General features: G+C 42.3%; 1 protein-coding gene across 24 annotated transcripts in view, besides 2 other annotated features; it reads left to right on the top strand.

Annotated features, from left to right (window-relative positions):
• CLIP1 (CAP-Gly domain containing linker protein 1) overlaps positions 1-23,357 on the top strand; it is a 151,488-nt gene that overhangs the window by 112,112 nt on the left and 16,019 nt on the right. For all 24 annotated transcript variants that reach the window (XM_047429314.1, XM_047429321.1, XM_047429320.1 and 21 more), the window contains 2 exons: positions 963-1,083; positions 22,304-22,356. In XM_047429314.1, the coding sequence (XP_047285270.1) occupies positions 963-1,083; positions 22,304-22,356 (174 nt within the window). The remainder of the gene's footprint in view (positions 1-962; positions 1,084-22,303; positions 22,357-23,357) is intronic.
• Positions 17,465-17,524: an enhancer, noted in NCBI's record as "active region_7214". NCBI's record gives its function as "activates an Ori minimal core promoter by ATAC-STARR-seq in GM12878 lymphoblastoid cells {active_cell/tissue: GM12878}" and the evidence as "EXISTENCE:reporter gene assay evidence [ECO:0000049][PMID:35858748]".
• Positions 21,698-21,857: a silencer, noted in NCBI's record as "fragment chr12:122773535-122773694 (GRCh37/hg19 assembly coordinates)". NCBI's record gives its function as "represses an EF-1alpha promoter that drives an FKBP-Casp9 reporter gene in an ReSE screen in HepG2 liver carcinoma cells {active_cell/tissue: HepG2}" and the evidence as "EXISTENCE:reporter gene assay evidence [ECO:0000049][PMID:32094911]".

Raw genomic sequence — 23,357 nt, 5'->3', positions numbered from 1 at the left:
TTAAAAATAGATGTGTTCATGCATCAGCAGATGGATTCATACCCAGATGACTTGATTCAGAATTCAGCCATGTATGACAGCTTGCTAAATGGAGTTTAACCAACACAGATGTACTTAAAATTCACAATTCCATCAAAACCCTCTATAGCATAAAACTAAGATTTAGTGATCAAATATTGTGCATATTCATGTATAAAGGATAATGTTTAGGATGTATGTTTTGGATTATTTTAAGAACAAGAAGATGTTTAATAAATATACCTATCCTGTTCATTTTTTCTATGCTGATATTCACGGTATAAGTTAGCAGTCTGTATTATATTTTTATTTGCTTCTTTCAATTATAAATTAGCATTGTGGAAAGACTACTATAAAATAAAACACCTGTTATGTAATTAGGAAACTATATTTCCTTGGGGCATTCCGCCTCTAGTTGTCCTAAAAATATACTCAGATTTACATCAGCACTTGACTCTGACAGATACTGGTAAATGGGACCATTGGATTTTTATTTCTTCCAGAAAAAAACAAATTATAGATCTGTGCAGTTAGAACAGAGTGCCTTGGCAGCAAATTAAATCACTTTATCAACGAAGTGGGTTTTAGTAAAATCATCTAATGGAAATATTCCTAAAGACAGGAGGGCTGTACTGACCATCTCATTTGTCATTTATTTTATAGCAAAATTCCTTTTTTATGGGGTAAGTTTGGGTGGTGGGAGGGTGGGCATAGGGTTTATTAGGTTCTGAAAAATGTAATAATTGTGGGTGGCAGCCCTCCTTTTGGGAGGTTATGGCCATTTAACCCCTTCTGCATGTAGATAATACTGTCTGCTGTTATTATAGATCCTATCAGGCACGTGACCCAGATATATTTTCTTCAGTGCTGTGAAGCTGGTTGTCTCCCACAGTTTCCTTGCCTGTCTTGTTTCTATGGTAACCCTGCACTCACTGTCCTTGCAGAGAAACCCTAAAGCAGGCAGCAGCTCAGAAGTCCCAGCAGCTTTCAGCGTTGCAAGAAGAGAACGTTAAACTTGCTGAGGAGCTGGGGAGAAGCAGGGACGAAGTCACAAGTCATCAAAAGGTCAGTGTCCTTTGGCGAGGGGTTCCAGCTGTGCCATGCTGGGTGCTGCTGCTGTTGGCAGCACGCTCAGAGGCCACTCGGAGGTCTGCTCAGTGTGGTGGGGTCATTCCAAATGGAATTCCAAGTTACCTGTGCTATGTGTCTCCTTGTTTTCAAACGTGCTGCTGTAGGATTTAGGGTAGGAGAGATTTGACAGGTCCTTTAAAAAACACACAGAACACTGGAACTTGCAAGCAAGTAGAAAATACTATCTTTATTAGACAATCTTGTAGCTCAACATTTAAATGGAAGGGGACAGTATCTTCACCCTACTACTACTTGGATTACAAAATTATTTTTCTCTTAAGATTTTTTTCACTTTCATCAAAATTGATTTTGAAGAAACAGATTCCAAGAATATAGATTTGGTGTAAGTGTTGGCAGCTGATTTTAAATAGAACTCTGCTTTTGTTTAAATTAAAAAACATGCTTAAGCCTTTTCTAATGAAACTGTGCATACATGTACACTTGTGTGCATTGGTAAATATAGAATATATGTTACAACTGGCATGAACTATAAGCAAACCACAACCTATTTACTTCTATATTTAAATTACAAAGGTTTCTTATAGAAGTTGATTAAACATGGCAACAAAACTGATTTTAAAGGAAGCTATATCTGCCTTTTATTCTTCTCTAACAGTTGAATCAAAGTGCTGAATTGTGAGTCACATCTGACTTCAGAGCAGCAGCTTAAAATTACATTTTTAAGAGACTTTTGCTGTGTAGTCATTCATTCTTGTTTTGTACTCCAAGGGGAAAAAATTTTTTTTCCCGTTGTGTGTTGCAAACATTAATTCTTACTTGGGATGGATTAGTTTGGGGTAGTTGTACTGAGTACCCATTGACATGGTGCAATTTGTGGTGAAAGCACTTTTTGGAGAGTTAACTTTAGACTTTAAAATCTTCATTGTTGCTTTTGTGGAAGAAATGCCACATCTCTTCAGACTCCAAGATGATGATGATGCTGTTGGTGATAGTAGCTAACATTTATGGGCTCTTGCTATGTGACAGGCACAAATAAGTGCTAGCTGTCATCGCAGTCCTTGCCATAATTCTAAGCAATAGCACTATTATTATCCCCATTTGTAAAAGGGGAAACGGAAGCACAAAGATGATAGTAATTTGTTCAGCATCATTTGGCGACTAGTGTCAAGAGATGTCATCTTCTGATGGGGGCCAAGGAGAGTATCAGTGTGTTGACTTAACTAGGGTCACTGCACTCTCCTTTGATGAGTTTGTGAGAAACTGGAGGTCATGAAGAATGGAAGCCCATTGACCAGCAGGGGTTCTTTTTTCCTGGCACAAGCTAAAACACCTACAGCATTTGGCATCTCCAGCATCAGTGTGTCCACAGGGACTTGGAAGAGAAGGACTTTGGCTAAGTGCTGAGTCTATTGCCATCTCCTGTCATTTCATTGAACATCTCTGGTAGAGAGAGTGGGTTCCATAAATAGGAGGAACTTACAGAGATCATCCTCTTGACTTATGCTGTGACCTTAACTGGACTGATGATTACAGTTCTTGTCTCTGTCACTCAGAACCAGAAGGGATTCAGGAGACATCATGCTTCCTTGTTTAGAATTTCCCACAGTTTCTTTGCCTGACTTGGGCTCCTCTCCATCCTAGCAGCTCTGTTCTCTTTTGCAGTAGAGATTTCAATTAGCTTCCTACTGAAAAGGTTTTGTGATTAAAAAATGTAAAAATCAGGCACTTTGCAGAGTGTTAGAAAGTAATGCCTACAGGAATGGCTAAGAAGTGACTTACTTTTAAAGAATGGGTGGATTCTTAAGCCACTGGTAGTTTTCTGTATGTAACTCAGAAGGAGAAATAATGTGTATGTGAATTAAAATGTGATAGGCTTTCATGATGGAGATTGTGAAAAACATTGATTACCAAGAAAGATTATAGACCATTCTTTCCATGGTATATATATTTCAAAAGAGTGGAGTGAGCCACCCGTTTAAAGTAACTTAGAAGCCACCTTAGTTTAATGAAGACCGATTAATTCATCGGGCTCTGTTACTCTTTTATTGTATCATCTCCAAGAATTCTATAAAATTTCACTTAGTTGCTTTCTCCAGTTAAGTCAGACTATTGATCAGCTGTGTTAGAAATGTATTACAGAGCTACAGTATTTGGCAGAAATGCTATTTAAAAAAAATAATTTTAGTTGTAGTACTACAGAAAAATTTGCTTTTTCATTCTAAAATCGAGACAGTGGAGACTAGATTGACTTGGGAAAGGTAAGTACTGACCCACGACCTAGGTTCTCTCCTGATTCCTTTATTTAGAAGCACCATAATTTGTTGAACTGAGCTGATTGCTTTACCATTATTTCATGGAATCATCACAACCTACCTCAGAGATAGTAGGATTATTTTTAGACAGGAAACAGGCTCAAAAGTGAACTAATGGCTGGGCACAGTGACTCACACCTGTAATCTCAGCATTTTGGGAGGCCGAGGCGGGTGGATCATGAGGTCAGGAGTTCGAGACCGGCCTGGCCAAGATGGTGAAACCCCATCTCTACTAAAAATACAAAAATTAACCAGGCATGGTGGCGGGCGCCTGTAATCCCAGCTACTCGGGATACTGAGGGAGAGAATTGCTTGAATCTGGGAGGTGGAGGTTACAGTGAGCCGAGATCGTGCCACTGCACTCCAGCCTGGGCGACAGAGTGAGACTCTGTCTCAAAAAAAAAAAAAAAAAAAAAAAAAAAAAGTGAACTTACCAAGGATACACAGATAGGCAGTGGAGGAGCTGAGATTTGAAATTGTGTTTGAAAGCCTGTTTGTCCAGCTGCTGTTCTATTCTGAGAATAAAACTTTTTTCTGCTTACTTCATGATTATTGTTCAAGATTTTAAAAAGCTGTGAGCTAGAAATGGGGTAGGTGCGGTCAAACATTGCTCTAAAAATGGCTTCTGAACCCTACTGGTACTTTTTTTTTCTGCCTCAAATATTTATTTTGCTTAGAAAACCCAGTGCATCCCAGAATCTTGCCATTCACAGGTCTGCTTTTGCATCTTTTCTTGTCTCCTTTCTCACTTGGTGATCATGTCCTCATTGTTAAAGGCCCATGTTAAAGGTCATGGCCTCTGATCTTGAGCAGAGCAAGCTGCTGCCCCTTTGTGGTCAGGTGCGGGCTCTGCAGTGCCCTGACCTTAGAACCCAGCATTTTGGTCAGGATCGTGTGCTTCTGCTTCTCCCACAGACAGTGAGAAAGTAGGAATCATAGAGCACGACGTGTAGGTTTGAATGAATGCATGGGTGTTTGGTGAGTATCTTGTTTTTAGCCAGGGCCCCAGTTTCTGTTTTACAGAAGAAGACAGAGGACTTTGTGACTGCTCTTTCCATTTTTTAGATGATTCACTTTACTTCCAGCTTCATAGCTGAATTAGTCGGGGTTCTCTAGAGGGACAGAACTAGTAGGATAGATAGATATCAAGGGGAGTTTATTAAGGACTGTTAACTCACACAATCACAAGGTCCCACACGAGGCCATCTGCAAGCTGAGGACCAAGGAAGCCAGTTCGAGTCCCAAAGCTGAAGAACTTGAAGTCCAATGTTCTAGGGCAGGAAGCTTCCAGCATGGGAGAAAAATGTAGGCTGGGAGGCTAAACCAGTCTAGTCTTTTCACGTTCTTCTGCTTGCTTTTTTTTTTTTTTTAGATGGAGTCTCACTCTGTAGTCCAAGCTGGAGTGCAGTGGCTCGATCACTTGGCCTCCTGGGCTTAAGTGATTCTCATGCCTCAGCCTTCCTAGCAGCTGGGACTACAGGCGCGTGCCACCAGGCCTGGCTAATTTATTGTATTTTAGTAGAGACTGGGTTTCATCATGTTGCCCAGGGTAATCTCGAACTCCTGAGCTTAGGCAATCCGTCCACCTCAGCCTCCCAAAGTGCTGGGATTACAGGCATGAGCCACTGCGCTCAGCCATCTGACTGCTTTTTATTCTGGTCAAGCTGGCAGCTGATTACGTTGTGCCCACCTAGATGAAAGGTGGGCAGCCTTTCTCAGCCCACTGACTCAGATGTGAAATTTCCTTTAGCAACACCCTCACAGACATACCCAGGATCAGTACTTTGCATCCTCAATCCAATCGAGTTGACACTCAGTATTAACCATCGCAGTAGCTTTTGTTGCAGAGTTGTGGTGGCCGAAAACCTGATCACCAACTTAGTGGGGCATTTGCTCTTTGTGTGGCTGGTAGAAGCATACAGTGTAAATTCAGGCAAGGTCATATAGTTTAAGATTAATGGAAACTATACAGAGCATTCGTTTCTTTTTTAAGAGACAGAGTCTCACTTTGTAGCCTGGGCTGGAGAGCAGTGGCACTATCATAGCTCACTGCAGCCTCAACCTCCTGGGCTCAAGGGATCCTTCAGCCTCAGGCTCCCCAGTAGCTGGGACTATAGGTATAGTCTACCCCTATTTTCTTTTCATAGGGAATTCTAAAAATAATGTTGATTCTTCTATAGAAATAGTCACCTTAGGTAGTCACTTTTGATATGTCTGATTTATCATTTCCAAACCTCACATGTGTTCCACCTTGTAAAGATAGCAAATACAGTGAGCTATCACTATGGGAACAGAGCTGATTCTCCCCCTGGCTATTTGTAGAATGAGGTTACAGTTTGCTTATGGAAACCGGACAGGGATTAAATGACTCAATAACTGTATTTCATGAACAGTTTTTCCTGACAGAGGTTATAGCAGATGTATTATACAAAAAAATTGGGGTTAGCATCTAAATTGATCATGAATAGTCACCTGCCATTTAAATGAGCCTGAATTCCCAGACATGAATGCTTAGAAAGGGAAAGCTATTTTTAGCTTATTGTGTATTAGTTTGGAAAAATGGTGGTTATCAGCCATCATAATTTTAATCTGGGCTCAGGGGACTTCTGGGCAACTAGGGCTGATTGAAGCTGGATCACAGACTCTGTCTCCCTTCAGTACCCAATGCTATGAACACAGTTTTTCTGTATTAAAAAATGTGTCCAGCAGAAGCCAACAAAGCCAGTCAACTTCATGCTATAAACTTTTAAATTGGCACCCAAGGCTGGACGTGGAGGCTCACGCCTGTAATCCCAGCCCTTTAGGAGGCTGAGGCAGACAGATCACCTGAGGTCAGGAGTTCGAGACTAGCTGAGAAACATGGTGAAACCCCATCTCTAATAACAAATACAAAAATTAGCCGGGCATGGTGGTGCATGCCTGTAATTCTGGCTACTCGGGAGACTGAGGCAGGAGAATCACTTGAACCCGGGAGGCAGAGGTTGCAGTTAGTCGAGATCGTACCACTGGACTCCAGCCTGGGCGACAGAGCAAGACTCCGTCTCAAAAAATAAAAAGTAAATTGGCAACCAAGAAAGGAAACAAAATTGTGGTTTGACTCTGACACTTTGTCCCCAGTGGTAAGTGGAAAGGACGGTGAACAGCAAAATCCTGAGAATTTGTACTTGAATTCTCTCCATCCCTGTGCCCAGTCTAGTTTGGAAAAAATTAGACTGAAGAAGTGAGTAGACAGCCTGGGAAAAGTAAAGGAAAAATTTCTGAGGCTCAATGCCCCTTTGCACCACCGCAGGATTTTACCAACGGTGGGAAAAACTGCCAGTGGTCATTTTCTGTAGCTAGTCCAGCCAACAAACTGCAGCTGACAGGCACAGGGCACTGTGGGTATTTTTCTCAAGTGATAATAAGTCCGCAGTAGGCAGTCCGGGCGGGTACCCCCTCAGGAACGTCTGCACGGAGCTGGCCCTTCCTTCCTGCTTGCTGCTCTGCTAGGCGTGTAGTTCTTGTCCGTCTGATCCCCGGTTGGCTATTGTACCTCAAGCATCGCAGAGCTTTCTGGATGGAATCAGGGGGAGGACAAGGCAGGGAAATGCAAAGGGCTTCTCACATGGCTCTGTCTTCTAATTTGGGGAAGAAAGTTCACATTTCTATGATCGTATCACATAACCACCTCCAATCACAGGAGAGGCTGTGTTCCAGTCTCTAGGAAGGGAAGGTAGCAGAAGCAGTAGGAGCACTGTGGAAAGAGCTGACTGGGGATGCGTGCCCCAAGGCTGAGGATGTTCTCCTGTGGGAATGAGATTACCTGTGTTCAGGTAGAGTGAGTGATGTGCATAGAACACTGAAGAAAAATCTCAGGAAAGAGATCACCAACGGAGTCTATGTGTAGCCTCAACTATCCCAACCTTGACTCTATCCAGAAACCTCTGGCTACAGAAATGTGTCAATTACAGTGCTTAACTTTTAGCTGTAACGTGGGGTTAAAGATAAAGGCCTCAGATAAGGTAGGAAGGGTGTTGGGGGAAACTCACGGTATATGTGAGCCAAGGGAAGGTCTAGGTAGAGCCATCGAGAATAAGATGAAGTGTACACATTCTGCACCCTAAGAGGGAAAAGAGAAAGAACGGAACATCAAGAGCCAGAGAGAGACAGGAATTCAGGCCAAGAGAAGCTGTTACCCAGGGAAAATAGTGCTTTGTGTTATGTAAAACTCAAGTTATTTGAATAAAACAAAACAACTGTTCAAAGAGAAGATGATAAAATGACACAAGTTTAACAGGGAGATTGAAGAATTAAGGAAACAAATTGAAGACCAAACCACACCAGATCAAGACTACTAAATAAATCATAAACAGGAAGCAGCCTTATAAGCATTTCTTAAAATATAAAGGAAAGGGCCAGATGCAGTGGCTCATGCCTGTAATCCCAGCAATTTGGGAGGCCAAGCCAGGAGACTGTTTGAGCTTAGGAGTTCAAGACCAGCCTGGGCAACATAGCAAGACCCTGTCTCAAAAATGTATCTATATTTAGGCTGGGCACGGTGGCTCAAGCCTGTAATTCTAGGACTGTGTGAGGCCGAGGTGGGCAGATCACTTGAGGTCAGGAGTTTGAAACCAGCCTGGCTAACATGGCGAAACCCTGTCTCTACTAAAAATACAAAAATTAGCCAGGCGTGGTGGTGCCTGCCTGTAATCCCAGTTACTTGGATACTGACATGGGAGAATAGCTTGAACCCAGGAGGTGGAGGTTGCAGTGAGCCGAGACCACACCACTGCATACCAGCCTGGGGGACAGAGCAAGATTCTGTCTCAAATATATGTGTGTGTGCGTGTGTGTAAGTATTAGGAGATACGATAAGGAAATTTCCCCAAGTAAAGGAAGAACTGAATCCGCAAAAAGAAAAGAGAGTGGGTTGTATGGAAACCCAGTAGGGGGACCCATTGGGAAAAATTGGTCCAAAATAATAGACACCCCAAAAAAAATACCCTGGTGATTACTGAAATTCAACAATACAGAAATAATTCTATGGTGGGCATGGTGGTTCATGCCTGTAATCCCAGCACTGGGAGGCCGAGGCAGGCAAATCACCTGAGGTCAGGAGTTCAAGACCAGCCTCACCAACATGGAGAAACTCCATCTCTACTAAAAAAGAAAAAAAATAGCCAGGCATGGTGGCGCATGCCTGTAATCCCTGCTACTTGGGAGGCTGAGGCAGGAGAATCGCCTGAACCCAGGAGGCAGAGGTTGCGGTGAGCTGAGATAGCGCCATTACACTTCAGCCTGGGCAACAAGAGTGAAACTGTCTCAAAATAATAATAATAATAAAAAATAATAATTCTAAGTGCCCAGGCGGAAAAATCAAATTTCTTATAAAAACTTAAAAAAACCAACCCAACTGCAGATACATTCAATGCAAAAAAAACTCTGCTGCACCACATCCACTGTTCTGAGGGACAGGAAATATGGCCAAGAGCATCGTCTCCAGACAATGACTATTCAGGTGAGACAGCAGGCACATGTTTCCAAACATGAAAGGACTTAGAAGCTGTGGTGTTTGTGAGTCCTTCTGAAAAGGAGCCACTTGATGATAAATTTGAGCCAAGCAAGACATGAATCAAAATAAAGGCCTTAGCAAAAGAGAAGCGGACACAAGGACTGGTCATGAGCGTTAAATCCAAGTAAACAGAGAGCTAAGCACACAGCTGTGGGGTTTATGGGCACATACTAATGTTGTGGGGTTCTTTGTTATTTTGAGACAGAGTCTGATTCTGTCGCCCAGGCTGGAGTGCAGTGCTGCAGTCTCGGCTCACTGCAACCTCCGCCTCCCGGGTTCAAGTGATTCTCCTGCCTCAGCCTCCTGAGTACCTGGAAATATAGGCATGCGCTACCACGCCCAGCTAATTTTTGTATTTTTAGTAGAGATGGGGTTTCGCCATATTGGCCAGGCTTGTCTCAAAATCCTGACCTCCTGAAGGTCAGGACTCGCCTCGGCCTCCCAAAGTACTGGGATTATAGGCATGAGCCGCCGCGCCCGACCCAGACTAAGTTTTTAATATTTCATTTGGAAATTGTTTCAAACTTTGTGAAAAGTTGTAAGAATAGAACAAATAATGCTCATATATTCTACTATTTTTATATAAACAGTGCAGTCATGAAATTCAGGGAGTTTAACCTCGATACAACAGTATTACCTAACGTACAGACCCTATTCCTGTTCAGGCAGTTGTCCCAGTAACGTCCTTTACAGCATTGTTTTTTTAATTCAGGATTCAGTCCAAGATCATGCATTCTTTTCACTGAGTTGTCGTGTCTCTTTAGTCATCTTTAATCTGGAACGATTCCTCTGTTTTTGTCTTTCATGACATTGACATTTTTTATGAGAACAGGGCCAGTTAGTTAAGCTGCATAAACTCTCTTATTTTGAGTTTGTCTGATGCTTCTTCCTGATGATATTCAGGTTATGCATTTTTAGTAGGAAGACTATATAAGTGATACTGTGTCCTGCCAGGAGGCATGTGATGTTCCTTTGTCCCATTATTGGTGATGTTAATTTTGATCATTTGGTGAATGCAAGTGTAAAACATTTGCAAGGTAAAAAGAAAAAGGAAAAAAAGTAGAAAAAAATATAGAGAGAATGTGACTAACAAAATTTGAGGGGTAGGACTGAAAGAAAGTGGAAGTGTACAAACTTCTTCATCTTTTATATCACAGAGATGTTCAATACGGGCGGCTACTCAGGAGGCTGAGGCAGGAAAATCACTTGAACCCAGGAGGCGGAGGTTGCAGTGAGCTGAGATCGCGCCACTGCACTCCAGCCTGGGTGACAGAGCGAGACCGTCTCAAAACAAAAAAAGAATTAATTTATACCTAAGAAAATGAAATAAACCTCTTACATTTTAAGAACATATTTTACTTAAATTTTACAAAACAAATGTATGAAACTATTGGGATGTCTTAGAATCACATATATCTTGTGGTAAATAACATTTTTTTGCTCTCAGCCAATTTATTTTGTTTACTTCGATTTATTCTCTCTCCTGTTAAAGTAAAATTAAATTTGCTTTTTTCCCCCTCTCTGTCCTTCTCATTGTGTATATATATGGAGATGTCTGGCATGTCATTCAGCTAATGTTATGGTCTTTTTTTTCTTTTATTTTCGATGATGTCTTTCTCTGCCACCCAGGCTGGAGTACAGTGACATAATCACAGCTCACTGCAGTCTCTACTGCCCTGGCTCAAGCCATCCTTCCACCTCAGCCTCCCAGGTAGTTGGGACCACAGGCACATACCACTATGCCTGGCTAATTTTTCAGGTTGGTTTGTTTGTTTTTGGTAGAGAAGGGTCTCGCTATGATGCCCAGGCTGATCTCAAACTCTTGGACTCAAGCGATCCTCTGGCCTTAGCCTCCCAAAGTGCTGGGATTACAGGCATGAGCTATCACACCCAGCCTAGTTGTGGTTATTTCTAAGTGGAAGAATTGGGGAAATATGTTTCCTTCTTTTTTTTTTTGAGACAGAGTCTTGCTCTGTCGCCCAGGCTGGAGTGCAGTGGCACGATCTCAGCTCACTGCAAGCTCCGCCTCCCGGGTTCACGCCATTCTCCTGCCTCAGCTTCCCGAGTAGCTGGGACTACAGGCACCTGCCACCACGCCCGGCTAATTTTTTGTATTTTTAGTAGAGACGGGGTTTCACCGTGCTAGCCAGGATGGTCTCGATCTCCTGACCTCATGATCTGCTTGCCTCGGCCTCCCAAAGTGCTGGGATTGCAGGCATGAGCCACCGCGCCCGGCATCTTTTTTTTTTTTTTTTTTTTGCTGAATTTATTCTTTAAAAACAAAAACAGCATGTATCATTTTAACAACAATAATAAAGTAATTATTTAAAAAAATTATATCTGCAACTTAGGGAATCACTAAAGCCAAACGTCTGATTTGTTTAGGTTCTGTGGGAATCATCCTTTGGCGCAATCACGTGCATTCAAGCATTATTACGTTTAGGAAATGGTCCAAGGGGTATGTGCAGTTCCTGAAAGTCTTTTTACAGCCTGTATATTCTCTTTCGTATCTTTTAAGTTTCTTGTTTGAGACCTTCCTCTAGACTTCTCTAGAATCCTCTTAACCTCTCTGGCTTTTGAGGGGTTTTGTAGAAAGCCATTGCCTGGCACAGAGAAGTTATCCATCCTGGAAATGACTGCCAGAGTCTAGGCCAAAGGGTGTAGGTCTTTTCCACTCTGCCTCTGCATAGTTAAGGGTGTTTACATCTGAACAGAAGATGCACTTCGGCTGCACTAAAGATACAAGCAGTATTAAGGGAAGAGTAGCTGTTGTCTTTTCAGCACCCAGGAGTAAAAAGTAAAGATTAAGGTGACACGTGCACTCTCTGTGAAGAACTACTTGTATGTATTGGCTTCAGGCAGTCACGATACCCCCGCCCTGTAGCCACACCATTGATATCATTCTTCTTTTTCTTTTTGAGACGGAGTCTCACCCTGTTGCCAGGCTGGAGTGCAGTGGCGCGATCTCAGCCCATTGCAACCTCCGTCTCCTGGGTTCACGCGATTCTCCTCCCTCAGCCTCCCCAGTAGCTGAGACTACTGGCGTGCACCACCACACACAGCTAATTTTTGTATTTTTAGTAGAGACAGGGTTTTGCTATGTTGACCAGGCTGGTCTTGAACTCCTGACTTCAAGTGATCCACCTGGCTCATCCTCCCAAAATGCTGGGATTACAGACAGGCATGTGCCACCACCCAGCCCCAATATCATTCTTTGATAAAGGACAATGTGAATGTATTTGAAGATGTAAATATTCTTTTTTTTTTTTTTTTTTGAGACAGAGTGCTGCTCTGTCACCCAGGCTGGAGTGCGATGGCATAATCTCAGCAACCTCTGCCTCATGGGTTCAAGCAGTTCTTCTGCCTCAGCCTCCCTAGTAGCTGGGACTACAGACGCCCACCACCACGCCCAGCTAATTTTTTTTTATTTTTAGTGGAGACGGAGTTTGGCCACGTTGGCCACGTTTGAACTCGACCTCAGGTGATCCACCCGCCTCGGCCTCCCAAAGTGCTGCAATTACAGGCTTGAGCCGCCATGCCCAGTGTGAAGATGTAAATATTCTTACATAATTCATGTACATATTCATATCAACTTAAACCAGTCCTAAGGCATGTGGTCTTTCCTGCATAATACAGAACTTTAGTTGGTAGCATAATGCGTACTGTTGCAGGTTGAGTTCCCTGGGAAACAGGCCAAGAGAGAGTTTAGTGTGATGATACTTACCGAAGTATGCTCTCGGGGCAGCTCCGATGGAAAGGAGGAGAAAGAAACAGGATCAGGCAGTTGGAGAAACTGAGCCATGATGCAGGCCCAGCAACAGCCTTGACCAATGCCGTGGGGAGCTCTGGAGCTGGAGTGGCCATGCAGATTCGTCCCAAACTGGACGGAGATGGCCAGTCTTTCGGTAATCCCACATGGATCAGTCACTGGATGTGATCCATGCTGGGAGGGCGACATGACCCTGCCGGAAGTGGCTCCGTAGTTGTGGTGATCCCTGATGGGGCCACCAGCTAAGCTGTCCCAGAAGCTGGGCAACACGGCTCGCCTAGAAAAGGGGGATCTGTGCAGCCGATCACTGTGTCTGCGCCACTCCCTTCTTCTCTGAAAGGGCTTTGCCATGCAAAAATGACTGAGGCTTCCTCTTCCGTTTTTTCCCATTACCTTCTGCACTTCCAGGAGCAGAAGTCGGTGTGTGGGAGGCGAGACTAGAATTTCTCAGACACAGGGAATGGGTTTTGTGCTGTCAAGGTAGAGCTGCTATTTTGGACCTCAGAACACTTGCTTGGTTCGAGAAGAGACTAAAATAGCCCAAATGTGAACACCTCAGTTGAGCAGAAAGTTCTTCATTCTGTGAGAATCCTGGCTTCTGAGTACCACTACTAACTCATACCCATTGAGAGCACCAGCATACTGACTATGACACATTCGTTCACACAGTGCGTGGTTATTGAGTGCCTACTGTGTGCCTGTGTTCCAAAAATAGGGGAGATCACAATAAACAGAGAGGCGCTTCTCCTCTCCGGAGATTTTTTGTTCAAGTGGTTTTACTGAGCCTACAAAGCAGAAGTTGTGTATGTCATGACTATGGACTTCTAATGTCCTTCATTTCACCCGAGCTACTATTTTTCTTAGCGTAGCTGACAGACATAAAACCAAGTACCCACCATGTTTATTTACAAAATAGGGTTATGCATACATGAGCTCTTGGAGATTTTCCAGTCCAGTGTTCCCCGAACTATGATTATTTGTGCATCACTTTCACTGTAACATTGTTCTCTGAAATATTTTTCTTTAACTCTCCCTTTTTTCCCCTTTACATATCCATGTTCTTTTTTAACCTTTTATTATGAAAAGTTTCAAGCATACACAGAAGCAGAGTGAGCAGTACAATGAATCTCTGTGTATAAAATTTCATTAGCAATTAACTCTTGGCCACTCGTCTACGCTGTACTCCCATTCATCCTCTCTACCTTGTTTGCCCTGCATGTTTTTTTTTTTTTTTTTTTTTTGAGGTAGTCTCACTTTGTCACCCAGGCTAGCGTGCAGTGGCATGATCATAGCTTACTGAAACCTCCAGCTATAAGGCTCAAGGAATCCTCCTGCCTCAGCTTCCTGAGTAGCTGGGACCACAGGCATGAGCCACCGCACTCAGCTCTACCCTGAGTGTTTTGAAGCAAATCCTAAATCCTAGATACCCTGTCATTTCATCTATAATTTTTTTATTTCCAAAGAAATAAGAATTATTTATTTTAAATTGTAATGTTATTTTTAAATTAGAAATATAATACATTTGTAATATGAAACAATACAAATATGTGTAATTTAAAAGTTATTACTCCTCTTCATTGCCATTTCATTGAAGCTACATTATAAATGGTATATTTTTCCTTGGTGTTCCTCGTGTATATACCAGCATATGCAAATGCATATATGCACACATTGTTTTTGTTTTCTACAAAAGCCATATTGTACATATTACTCCAACTTGCTTTCTTTTTCTCAAAGTCATGTTTATTAAGGTCTAATTTACATCAAATAAAATTTACCCTTCATAGGTGTATAGTTGGGTGAATTTTGACAAATATATATGGTCATAAAACTGACCCCACAATCAAGATTTCCTTCACCCCAAAAGGTTCTCTTATCCTCCTTTATAGTCAGTTCATTCTCACTCCCTGAAAACTCTTTTCTGATCCAATAGTTTTACCTTTTTTAGTAGGTCACATAAATGGAATCAAAACAGTATGTAACCTTATTCATAAACACAGTAAATATAAATGGATTGAACACTCTGAATAAATGGCAGAGACTAGCAGAATGGATTTTTAAAATAACATGATCTAACTATATGCTGTCTATAAGAGATGCAATTTATATTCAAAGCCACAAATAGGTTGAAAGTAAAAGGATGGAACAAGACATACTATGCAAACAGTAACCAAAAGCAAGCTGGAGAAACTATACTACTATCAGACAAAATGGATTTTAAGGCAAAAATTGTTACTAGAGACAGAGAACAACGAAAAAATGTCAATCCATCAGAAAGATATAACAATTTTAAACATAGATGTACCTAATAACAGAGTCCCGAAATACATGAAGCAAAAACTGACAGAATTAAAAAGAGAAATTGAAAATTCAACAATTATAGCTGAAGGCTTCAGTACCCCATTTCAGTGATGGGTAGAACAACTATGCAGAGATGAAGAAGGAAACAGAAGACTTGAATAACACTCTAAATCAACAGGACCTAACAGTCATCTGCAGATTGCTCCATCCAACAGCAGCAGAAGACACACACTTCTCAAGTGCACAGGGAGCATTCTCCAGGACAGGTTATGTGTTAGACCATAAAATGATTTTCAGTCAATTTAAAAAGGTGAAATATTTCAAACTATTTTCCCTTACCACAGTAGAAAACATTAGACATTATACATAAGGAAATTTGGGAAATTCAAAACATTATATAGCCTTATGTATCTAGTTTCTTTTTAATTTTTTGAAACGGAGTCTCACTCTGTTCCCCAGGCTGGAGTGCAGTGGTGCGATCTTGGCTTACTGCAACCTCTGCCTCCTGGGTTCAAGCGATTCTCCTGCCTCAGCCTCCTGAGTAGCTGGGATCACAAGTACACGCCACCACACCTGGCTCATTTTTGTGTTTTTAGTAGAGATGGGGTTTTATCGTGTTGGCCGGCTGGTCTTGGACTCCAACCTCAAATGATTTGCCGCCCATCTCAGCCTCCCAAAGAGAAAATCTTTTTCTATTTTTAATTTTAATTTATTGATTTTTAATTATTATTTTTCTTTTTTTTTTTGAGATGGAGTCTCGCTCTGTCTCCCAGGCTGGAGTGCAATGGCACAATCTTGGCTCACTGAAACCTCTGCCTCCTGGGTTCAAGCAATTCTCCTGTCTTAGCCTTCTGAGTAGCTGGGATTATAGAGGTGCATGCCACCACGCCCAGCTAATTTTTTGTATTTTTAGTAGAGACGGAGTTTCACCATGTTAGTTAGGCAGGATGGAGTCTCTATCTCCTGACCTCATGATCTGCCTACCTTGCCTCCCAAAGTGCTGAGATTACAGACGTGAGGCACTGCACCCGGCCCTATTTTTATCTATTTTATTATTATTATTTGAGACAGGGTCTCACTCTGTCACCCAGGCTGGAGTGCTGTGGTGCAGTCTTGACTCATTGTAGCCTCCCACTTCAGCCTCCTGAGTAGCTAGGACTACAGGCGTCTGTGTCACATTTGATTAATTTTTTGATCTTTTTATAGAGACAAGGTCTCACTATGTTACCCAGGCTGGTCTCGAACTCCTGGGCTCAAGTGGTCATCCTGCCTTGGCCTCCCAGAGTGCTGAGATTACAGGTGTGAGCCACTGTGCCCGGTCACTCTGATTTATTTCACTTAGCATATTCCTTTGGAGGTCTATCCATGTTGTTATGTATATCAGCAGTTTGGGATTATATCATAGTTGCTTTATCCATTTGGACAGTGGGTTGTTCCAGTTTGGGGTTTTTTTTTTTGTTTTTTTTTTTTTTTGAGACAGAGTCTTGCACTCTTACCCAGGCTGGAGTGCAGTGGCGCCATCTCAGCTCACTGCAAGCTCCTTCTCCCAGGTTCACGCCATTCTCCTGCCTCAGCCTCCCAAGTAGCTGGGACTACAGGCACCCACCACCACACCCGGCTAATTTTTTTGTATTTTTAGTAGAGACAGGGTTTCACCATGTTAGTCAGGATGGTCTGGATCTCCTGACCTTGTGATCCGCCCGCCTCGGCCTCCCAAAGTGCTGGGATTACAGGTTTGGGGGTATTTTGAGTAAAGTTGTTTTGAATTCGTGAAGAGGCCAGGGGCATATGTTTTCATTTATCATGGGTAAACACCTAAGAGTGGAATTGCTAGTATGGTAAGTGTATGTTTACCTTTTTAAGAAATTCTCCGGGAGGCTGAGGCAGGAGAATGGTGTGAACCTGGGAGGCAGAGCTTGCAGTGAGCCGAGATTGCGCCGCTGCACTCCAGCCTGGGCAACAGAGCAAGACTCTGTCTCAAAAAAAAACAAAAAACAAAAAACAAAAAAAAAAACAAATTCTCAGGCCGGGCACGGTAACTCACGCCTGTAATCCCAGCACTTTGGGAGGCCGAGGCGGGCGGATCACCTGAGGTCAGGAGTTCGAGACCAGCCTGATCAACGTGGAGAAAACCTGTCTCTACTAAAAATAGAAAATTAGCCGAGCGTGGTGGCACATGCCTATAATCCCAGCTACTCAGGAGGCTGAGGCAGGAGAATCGCTTGAACCCAGGAGGCACAGGTTGCAGTGAGCCGAGATTGCGCCATTGCAATCCAGCGTGGGCAACAAGAGCGAAACTCCGTCTCAAAAAAAAAAAGAAAAAGAAATTCTCAAACCATTTTCCAAAATTAGTACTATTTTACATTCTCACCAGCAATTTATGAGGTTTCCGGTTATCCCACATACTTCTCAGCACCTAGGGGTTTTTGTTTTGTTTTGTCTTTTTAAACATTAATCTATTTGCCAACTAGGGAACCACTGGGATGGAGGGCTTGGGTGCCCAGGTGGCATGTGGAGTGTATCTCAGTGTGGTTTCAGTTTGCGTTCTCCTGATGACTGATGATGCTGAGTATCATTTCCTGTGCTTACTAACCATCTGTCTCTCTTCTTTGGTAAAATGTCCATTCACATCTTTCGGTCATTTTTCATTTTGTTTTTGTGTCTACATATTATTGCATTATGAAAGTTCTTACTATATTCTAGATACAAGTTCTTTATTGGGTTGTGTTTTGCGAATGTTTTCTCCCCATCTGTGGATTGTCTTTATACTTTCTTTGCCTTTTTTTTTTTTTTTTTTTTGAGACAGAGTCTTGCTCTTTTGCCCAGGCTGGACTGCAGTGGTGCTATCTCGGCCCACTGCAAGCTCCGCCTCCCGGGTTCATGCCATTCTCCTGCCTCAGCCTCCCGAGTAGCTGGGACTACAGGCGCCCACCACCGCGCCCGGCTAATTTTTTATATTTTTAGTAGAGACGGGGTTTCACCATGTTAGCCAGGATGGTCTCGATCTCCTGACCTCGTGATCCGCCCGCCTCGGCCTCCCAAAGTGCTGGGATTACAGGCTTGAGCCACCGTGCCCGGCCATCTTTATACTTTCTTAACAATATCTTTTGAAGAGTAGAAGTTTTAAGTTTTGGTCAACTCCACTGACAGGGCTTAGAAGTAACAAAACCCAGTACCAATGAGCACAACTAATGCCTAGAGCTTGTTTTCTAAATACTCTTCACTAAAGGAGTCAGAAGTGCATAGAGAAATGGCTGATGCCAGGGCTGGGACGGAAAGAGTATAAGGTGAGCTTGGAATATTTTGTGTACCAAAAAGCAAGGAAGCGCTCAAAGAATAATAGAGATTAGTGGAGAGGACATCAGAGCCATCTTGAAGAAGCTCCCACTGACCAAATGTGAGATAATTCGAGCATCAAAATAAATAGAGATATAATAGATTATAACCGACTGAATAACAGGAAACCATGAATCTAAACAGGTATTAATAAATAAATGGAAGCCAGGAGTAGTGGCTCACACCTGTAATCCCAGTACTTTGGGAGGCCAAGATGGGCAGATCGCTTGAGGCCAGGAGTTCGAGACCAGCCTGACCAATATAGTGAAACTCCATCTCTACTAAAAAAAAAAAAAAATACAAAAAATTAGCCTGGCGTGGTGACACATGCCTGTAATCCCAGCTACTTGGGAGGCTGAGGCACGAGAATTGCTTGAACCTGGGAAGCGGAGGTTGCAGTGAGCCGAGATTTTGTCCCTGCACTCCAGCCTGGGTGACAGAGCGAGACTCTGTCTTGAATGAATGAATGAATGAATGGAAAATGAAAGCCCTTTCTCATGGTAGAAGGCCAACTAATATTTAATGGTTGGAATGACAGAGTCATACAATCATCATATGGTAACCAGCATGGTAATAATTTGTTCAGGCAAGAATCATCAATCTGTGCTAAAACAAGTAGGTAAAAGTTTGTTGAATAACAGGATATTTACGTAGTTTCAAAACGTATCCCCCAAAAATACATATTAATTACAATGAAAAAAATAGTATCTTTCCAGTGGAGAAACATGGAAGATACTTCCTCCTTAACCAAGTGACCGAAGTTAACCTCACCAAAAATCAACAGTGTGTACCTCCTGATATCATCTGCTGAGAAGGACACAGGATTACTTCTGTGGTGTTCCTGCCAAAAAGTACATGATTTGACTCTAATGACATGGAAACATCAGACGAATCCAAACTGACGTTCTAGAAAATAACTGGCTTATACTCTTCAAAACTGTCAAGGCCATAAAAGACAAGGAAAGAATGAGGAACTGGCCGGGCGTGATAGCTCACACCTGTAATCCCAGCATTTTGGGATGCCATGGCGGGTGGATCACCTGAGGTCAGGAGTTCGAGACCAGCCTGGCCAACATGATGAAACCCCGTCTCTACTAAAAATAGAAAAGTTAGCTGGGCATGGTAGCACACATCTGTAATCCCCACTCTTTGGGAGGCTGAGACAGGAGAATCGCTTGAACCTGGGAGGCAGAGGTTGCAGTGAGCCAAGATCGCGCCACTGCACTCCAGCCTAGGTGACAGAGTGAGACTCTGTCTCAAAAAAAAAGAAAAGGGTCGGGCGCAGAAGCTGACACCTGTAATCCCAACACTTCGGGTGGCTGAGGCGGGTGGATCACCTGAGGTCAGGAGTTTGAGACCAGCCTGGCCAACATGGTGAAACCCCACCTCTACTAAAAATACAAAAAATGATCCAGGCATGGTGGCAGCGCCTGTAATCCCAGCTACTTAGGAGGCTGAGGCAGGAGAATCACATTAACCCAGGAGGCTGAGGTTGCAGTGAGCTGAGGTAGGGCCATTGCACTCCAGCCTGGGCAACAAGAGTAAAACTAAAAAAAAAACTAAAAAAAACTTAAAAAACTAAAAAAAATAAAAAAAAATAAAAAAAAGAAAAAAGAAATAAAACTGCTAGATGCAGCTTGCTATCTCCTAGATTGGGTAATAATCCTGGACCAGAAGAAGAAAAAACATTGTTTTCTATAAAGATCAGTATGATAAATATCAAACATCTCTTCCTTGGAAATTCAGGCACATGGACCCTCTAAGAAAGAGGGAGAATCTTTGCGTATTGTGTTTTTGTAGGGTTGAATGATTTTTCAAATATTCACTAATGATTTTTATTTTGTTTTGTGAATTGTCTGCCATGCTCTTTGTCCATTTATATATTCATTGTAAAAATTTTCCAGTTTTAAGTATTGATTTTTTTAACTTTTAAATTATAAAACTAAAACAGATTCCTTCTTTAAAGAATAAATATAAACTGTACAAAGGGCATAAAGACCAAAATGAAAACCCTTCTCATCTCCATATCCCACTCTCCAGATGTTCTCTTTCTCATTTCATTTTTTAAAGTTTGCCTCCCACTCTTTTTTCTTCCTTTCATTCTAAAAATTTCTAAATATTTCTGTGAATTAGTCATGCAGCAAAAACATACATCTTAATGGGCTAGGACATCAAAGAGTCTATAAAACTATGTTAACATTTACAGATTTCATGGTAAAGGGATATTTATGTTCAGAACATAATGTATATTTAAGAATTTTTAAAATAAGACCTCATAGCAAAGCATGAACATAAGTAATAATTAATAATGACTATAACTACTTAGAGTGAGCTAGTAACTTAAATTCTAGGCTGTTGGAAGCCATTACATAATCTTTGGTGTTATCTTTTTATTTAAAAAAATATAAGAGCTTTTTGACCCTTTTAAAAAAATTAACAGTGTGCAGCCTGGCCAACATGGCGAAACCCTGTCTACTAAAAATACAAACATTAGCTGGGCATGGTGGTAGGCACCTGTAATCCCAGCTATTTGGGAGACTGAAGCAGGAGAATCACTTGAACCTGGGAGGCAGAGGTTGCAGTGAGCCGAGATTGCACCACTGCACTCCAGCTGGGCAACAGAGCAAGACTCTGTATCAAAAAAGAAAAAAAAAAAAAAACATTAACAGTGTGAGTTGAAACTGGTGGTATTTGGCCAAACTGGGTAGTGCAGGTTGGAGGTAGAGATGATTCCTCCTTCACAAGATTAACTACCTGAATCTTTTGTTTTTTATCCTTCATGAGATAATAAAGAACCACTGGAAATTCTTTTGTAACCTCTTTGTTTTATACATGAGAAACAAATGCTTGAATAATGCTTGAATATACTAACCATTCAATGAATGTGTGTTGAATTGATGGATGTGAGTACATTGAGGCCCACAGAGAGTATGTAGCCTGTACCTAGTCCTCTGCAATTTAGTGACACTTGACTTCTGCGGTTTAAGTAAAGGAACTAGAATGTTAGCAGTGGAGCTTTACTCAATCATTTAACAATTTTTTTTTTTTAGATGGAGTCTCACTCTGTCACCCAGGCTGGAGTGCAGTGGTTCAATCTTGGCTCACTGCAACCTCTGCCTCCTGGGTTCAAGCGATTCTCCTGCCTCAGCCTCCTGAGTAGCTGGGATTGTAGGCACACACCACACCTGGCTAATTTTTACATTTTTAGTAGAGATGGGCTTTCACCATGTTGGCCAGGCTGGGCTCGAACTCCTGATCCGCCCATCTTGCCCCACCAAAGTGCTGAGATTACAGGTGTGAGCCACCGCGCCTGGCCAATTAACATTTTTGAATGCTTAAGATGTGCTTTGGGCCAGGCGCGGTGGCTCACGCCTGTAATCCCAGCACTTTGGGAGGCTGAGGCGGGCGGATCACAAGGTCAGGAGATCGAGACCATCCTGGCTAAGACGGTGAAAACCCGTCTCTACTAAAAAATACAAAAAATTAGCCGGGCGTTGTGGCGGGCGCCTGTAGTCCCAGCTACTCGGGAGGCTGAGGCAGGAGAATGGCGTGAACCCGGGAGGCGGAGCTTGCAGTGAGCCGAGATCACGCCACTGCACTCCAGCCTGGGCGACAGAGCGACACTCCGTCTCAAAAAAAAAAAAAAAAAAAAAAAAAGATGTGCTTCGTTGTGTTCAAGGTGTGATTGTTTAATATGTTTAACTCTCAGGTCCCTGAGGAGGGGGAGTTACTGAGGTCGTAAGTGATTTATATATTAATAACTACACATCCTGTGATAGAGTGACCACTTGTCCCTCTTCATTGCTGTTGAGGAAAGCCAATGGCTTTAGCTGTCCTGGAGCCTGGGGGATGTACATGTGGGATGAGAAATATGCCTTTCTGTGGCCTGGTTATGAACTGAAGTTTTTTGTGTTTTTTTCCTAGCTGGAAGAAGAAAGATCTGTGCTCAATAATCAGTTGTTAGAAATGAAAAAAAGGTAAGCTTTCTGTTTATTGTTGTATGTGTGTGTGTTTAATAAGATGTCAGAACATGATATGTGTGGTAACTTATAGTAGAAAACAAGTGACCTTCTTAGATTCAGAAAATGGCATTGTGATAGTTTGGTACTTGTAACTGACAAAATATGAAAATCCATTTGCAGGGCTAGGTGTGATAGCTCACACCTGTAATCCCAGCACTTTGGGAGGCCAAGGCTGGCGGATCACGAGTTCGACACCAGCCTGACCAACATAGTGAATCCCCATCTCAACTAAAAATACAAAAAATTAGCCAGGCATAGTGGCAGGTGCCTGTAATCTCAACTACTTGGGAGGCTGAGGCAGGAGAATCACTTGAACCTGGGAAGCGGAGGTTGCAGTGAGCCGAGATCGCGCCACTGCACTCCAGCCTGGGCAACAGTGAGAGACTCCGTCTCAAAAAAAAAAAAGAAAAAGAGAATCCATTTGCAGAAGTTTCACTATTACTAAAACAAAAATAGTTCATAAGCCATGTTCAGTTGCTTTCACTCAGAAGTGATCTAAAATCAGATTGTCTCATGTTACACCACTGTTACCTCCTAGTTTCAGTAACTAAACATACTAGAATCTTACATACAGTTATTGATCTGGATATAAATACTGATTTCAATTATATGAAAATTTTAATGTTCACTAATAATGGGTAATGTGATTTTAAGTGTTTCTATTTGCTTTAAAAGGCTTTCTTACTTACTCTCCCATGATAGTCAAATGATACTCAAATTAAAAACTAGGATAACTTTTTCAGTACTTTCCAATAAGGAAGAACATAGCTCACAGAAATAATTGTGTAGAAGCTTCATGCTTCTATAAGCTGATAAGTCTTTGCTCTTCTAAAACGTGCAGTTTTTGTTTAGAGAATGTCTGTGCTACACGGTCCAAGCAGGTTTAGGGGGTGCTACTGCCGAGAACCACAGCCTGTCCAGTGGGTGCTGCAGAATGGGTGCATATTACAACAGTG

Source organism: Homo sapiens, chromosome 12 (genome assembly GCF_000001405.40).
Source record: "Homo sapiens chromosome 12, GRCh38.p14 Primary Assembly".
In the NCBI taxonomy this organism is placed as follows: Eukaryota; Metazoa; Chordata; class Mammalia; order Primates; family Hominidae; genus Homo; species Homo sapiens.
The sequence above is the reverse complement of the archived record's forward strand: the minus strand, read 5'-3'. Positions and strand labels throughout refer to the sequence as shown.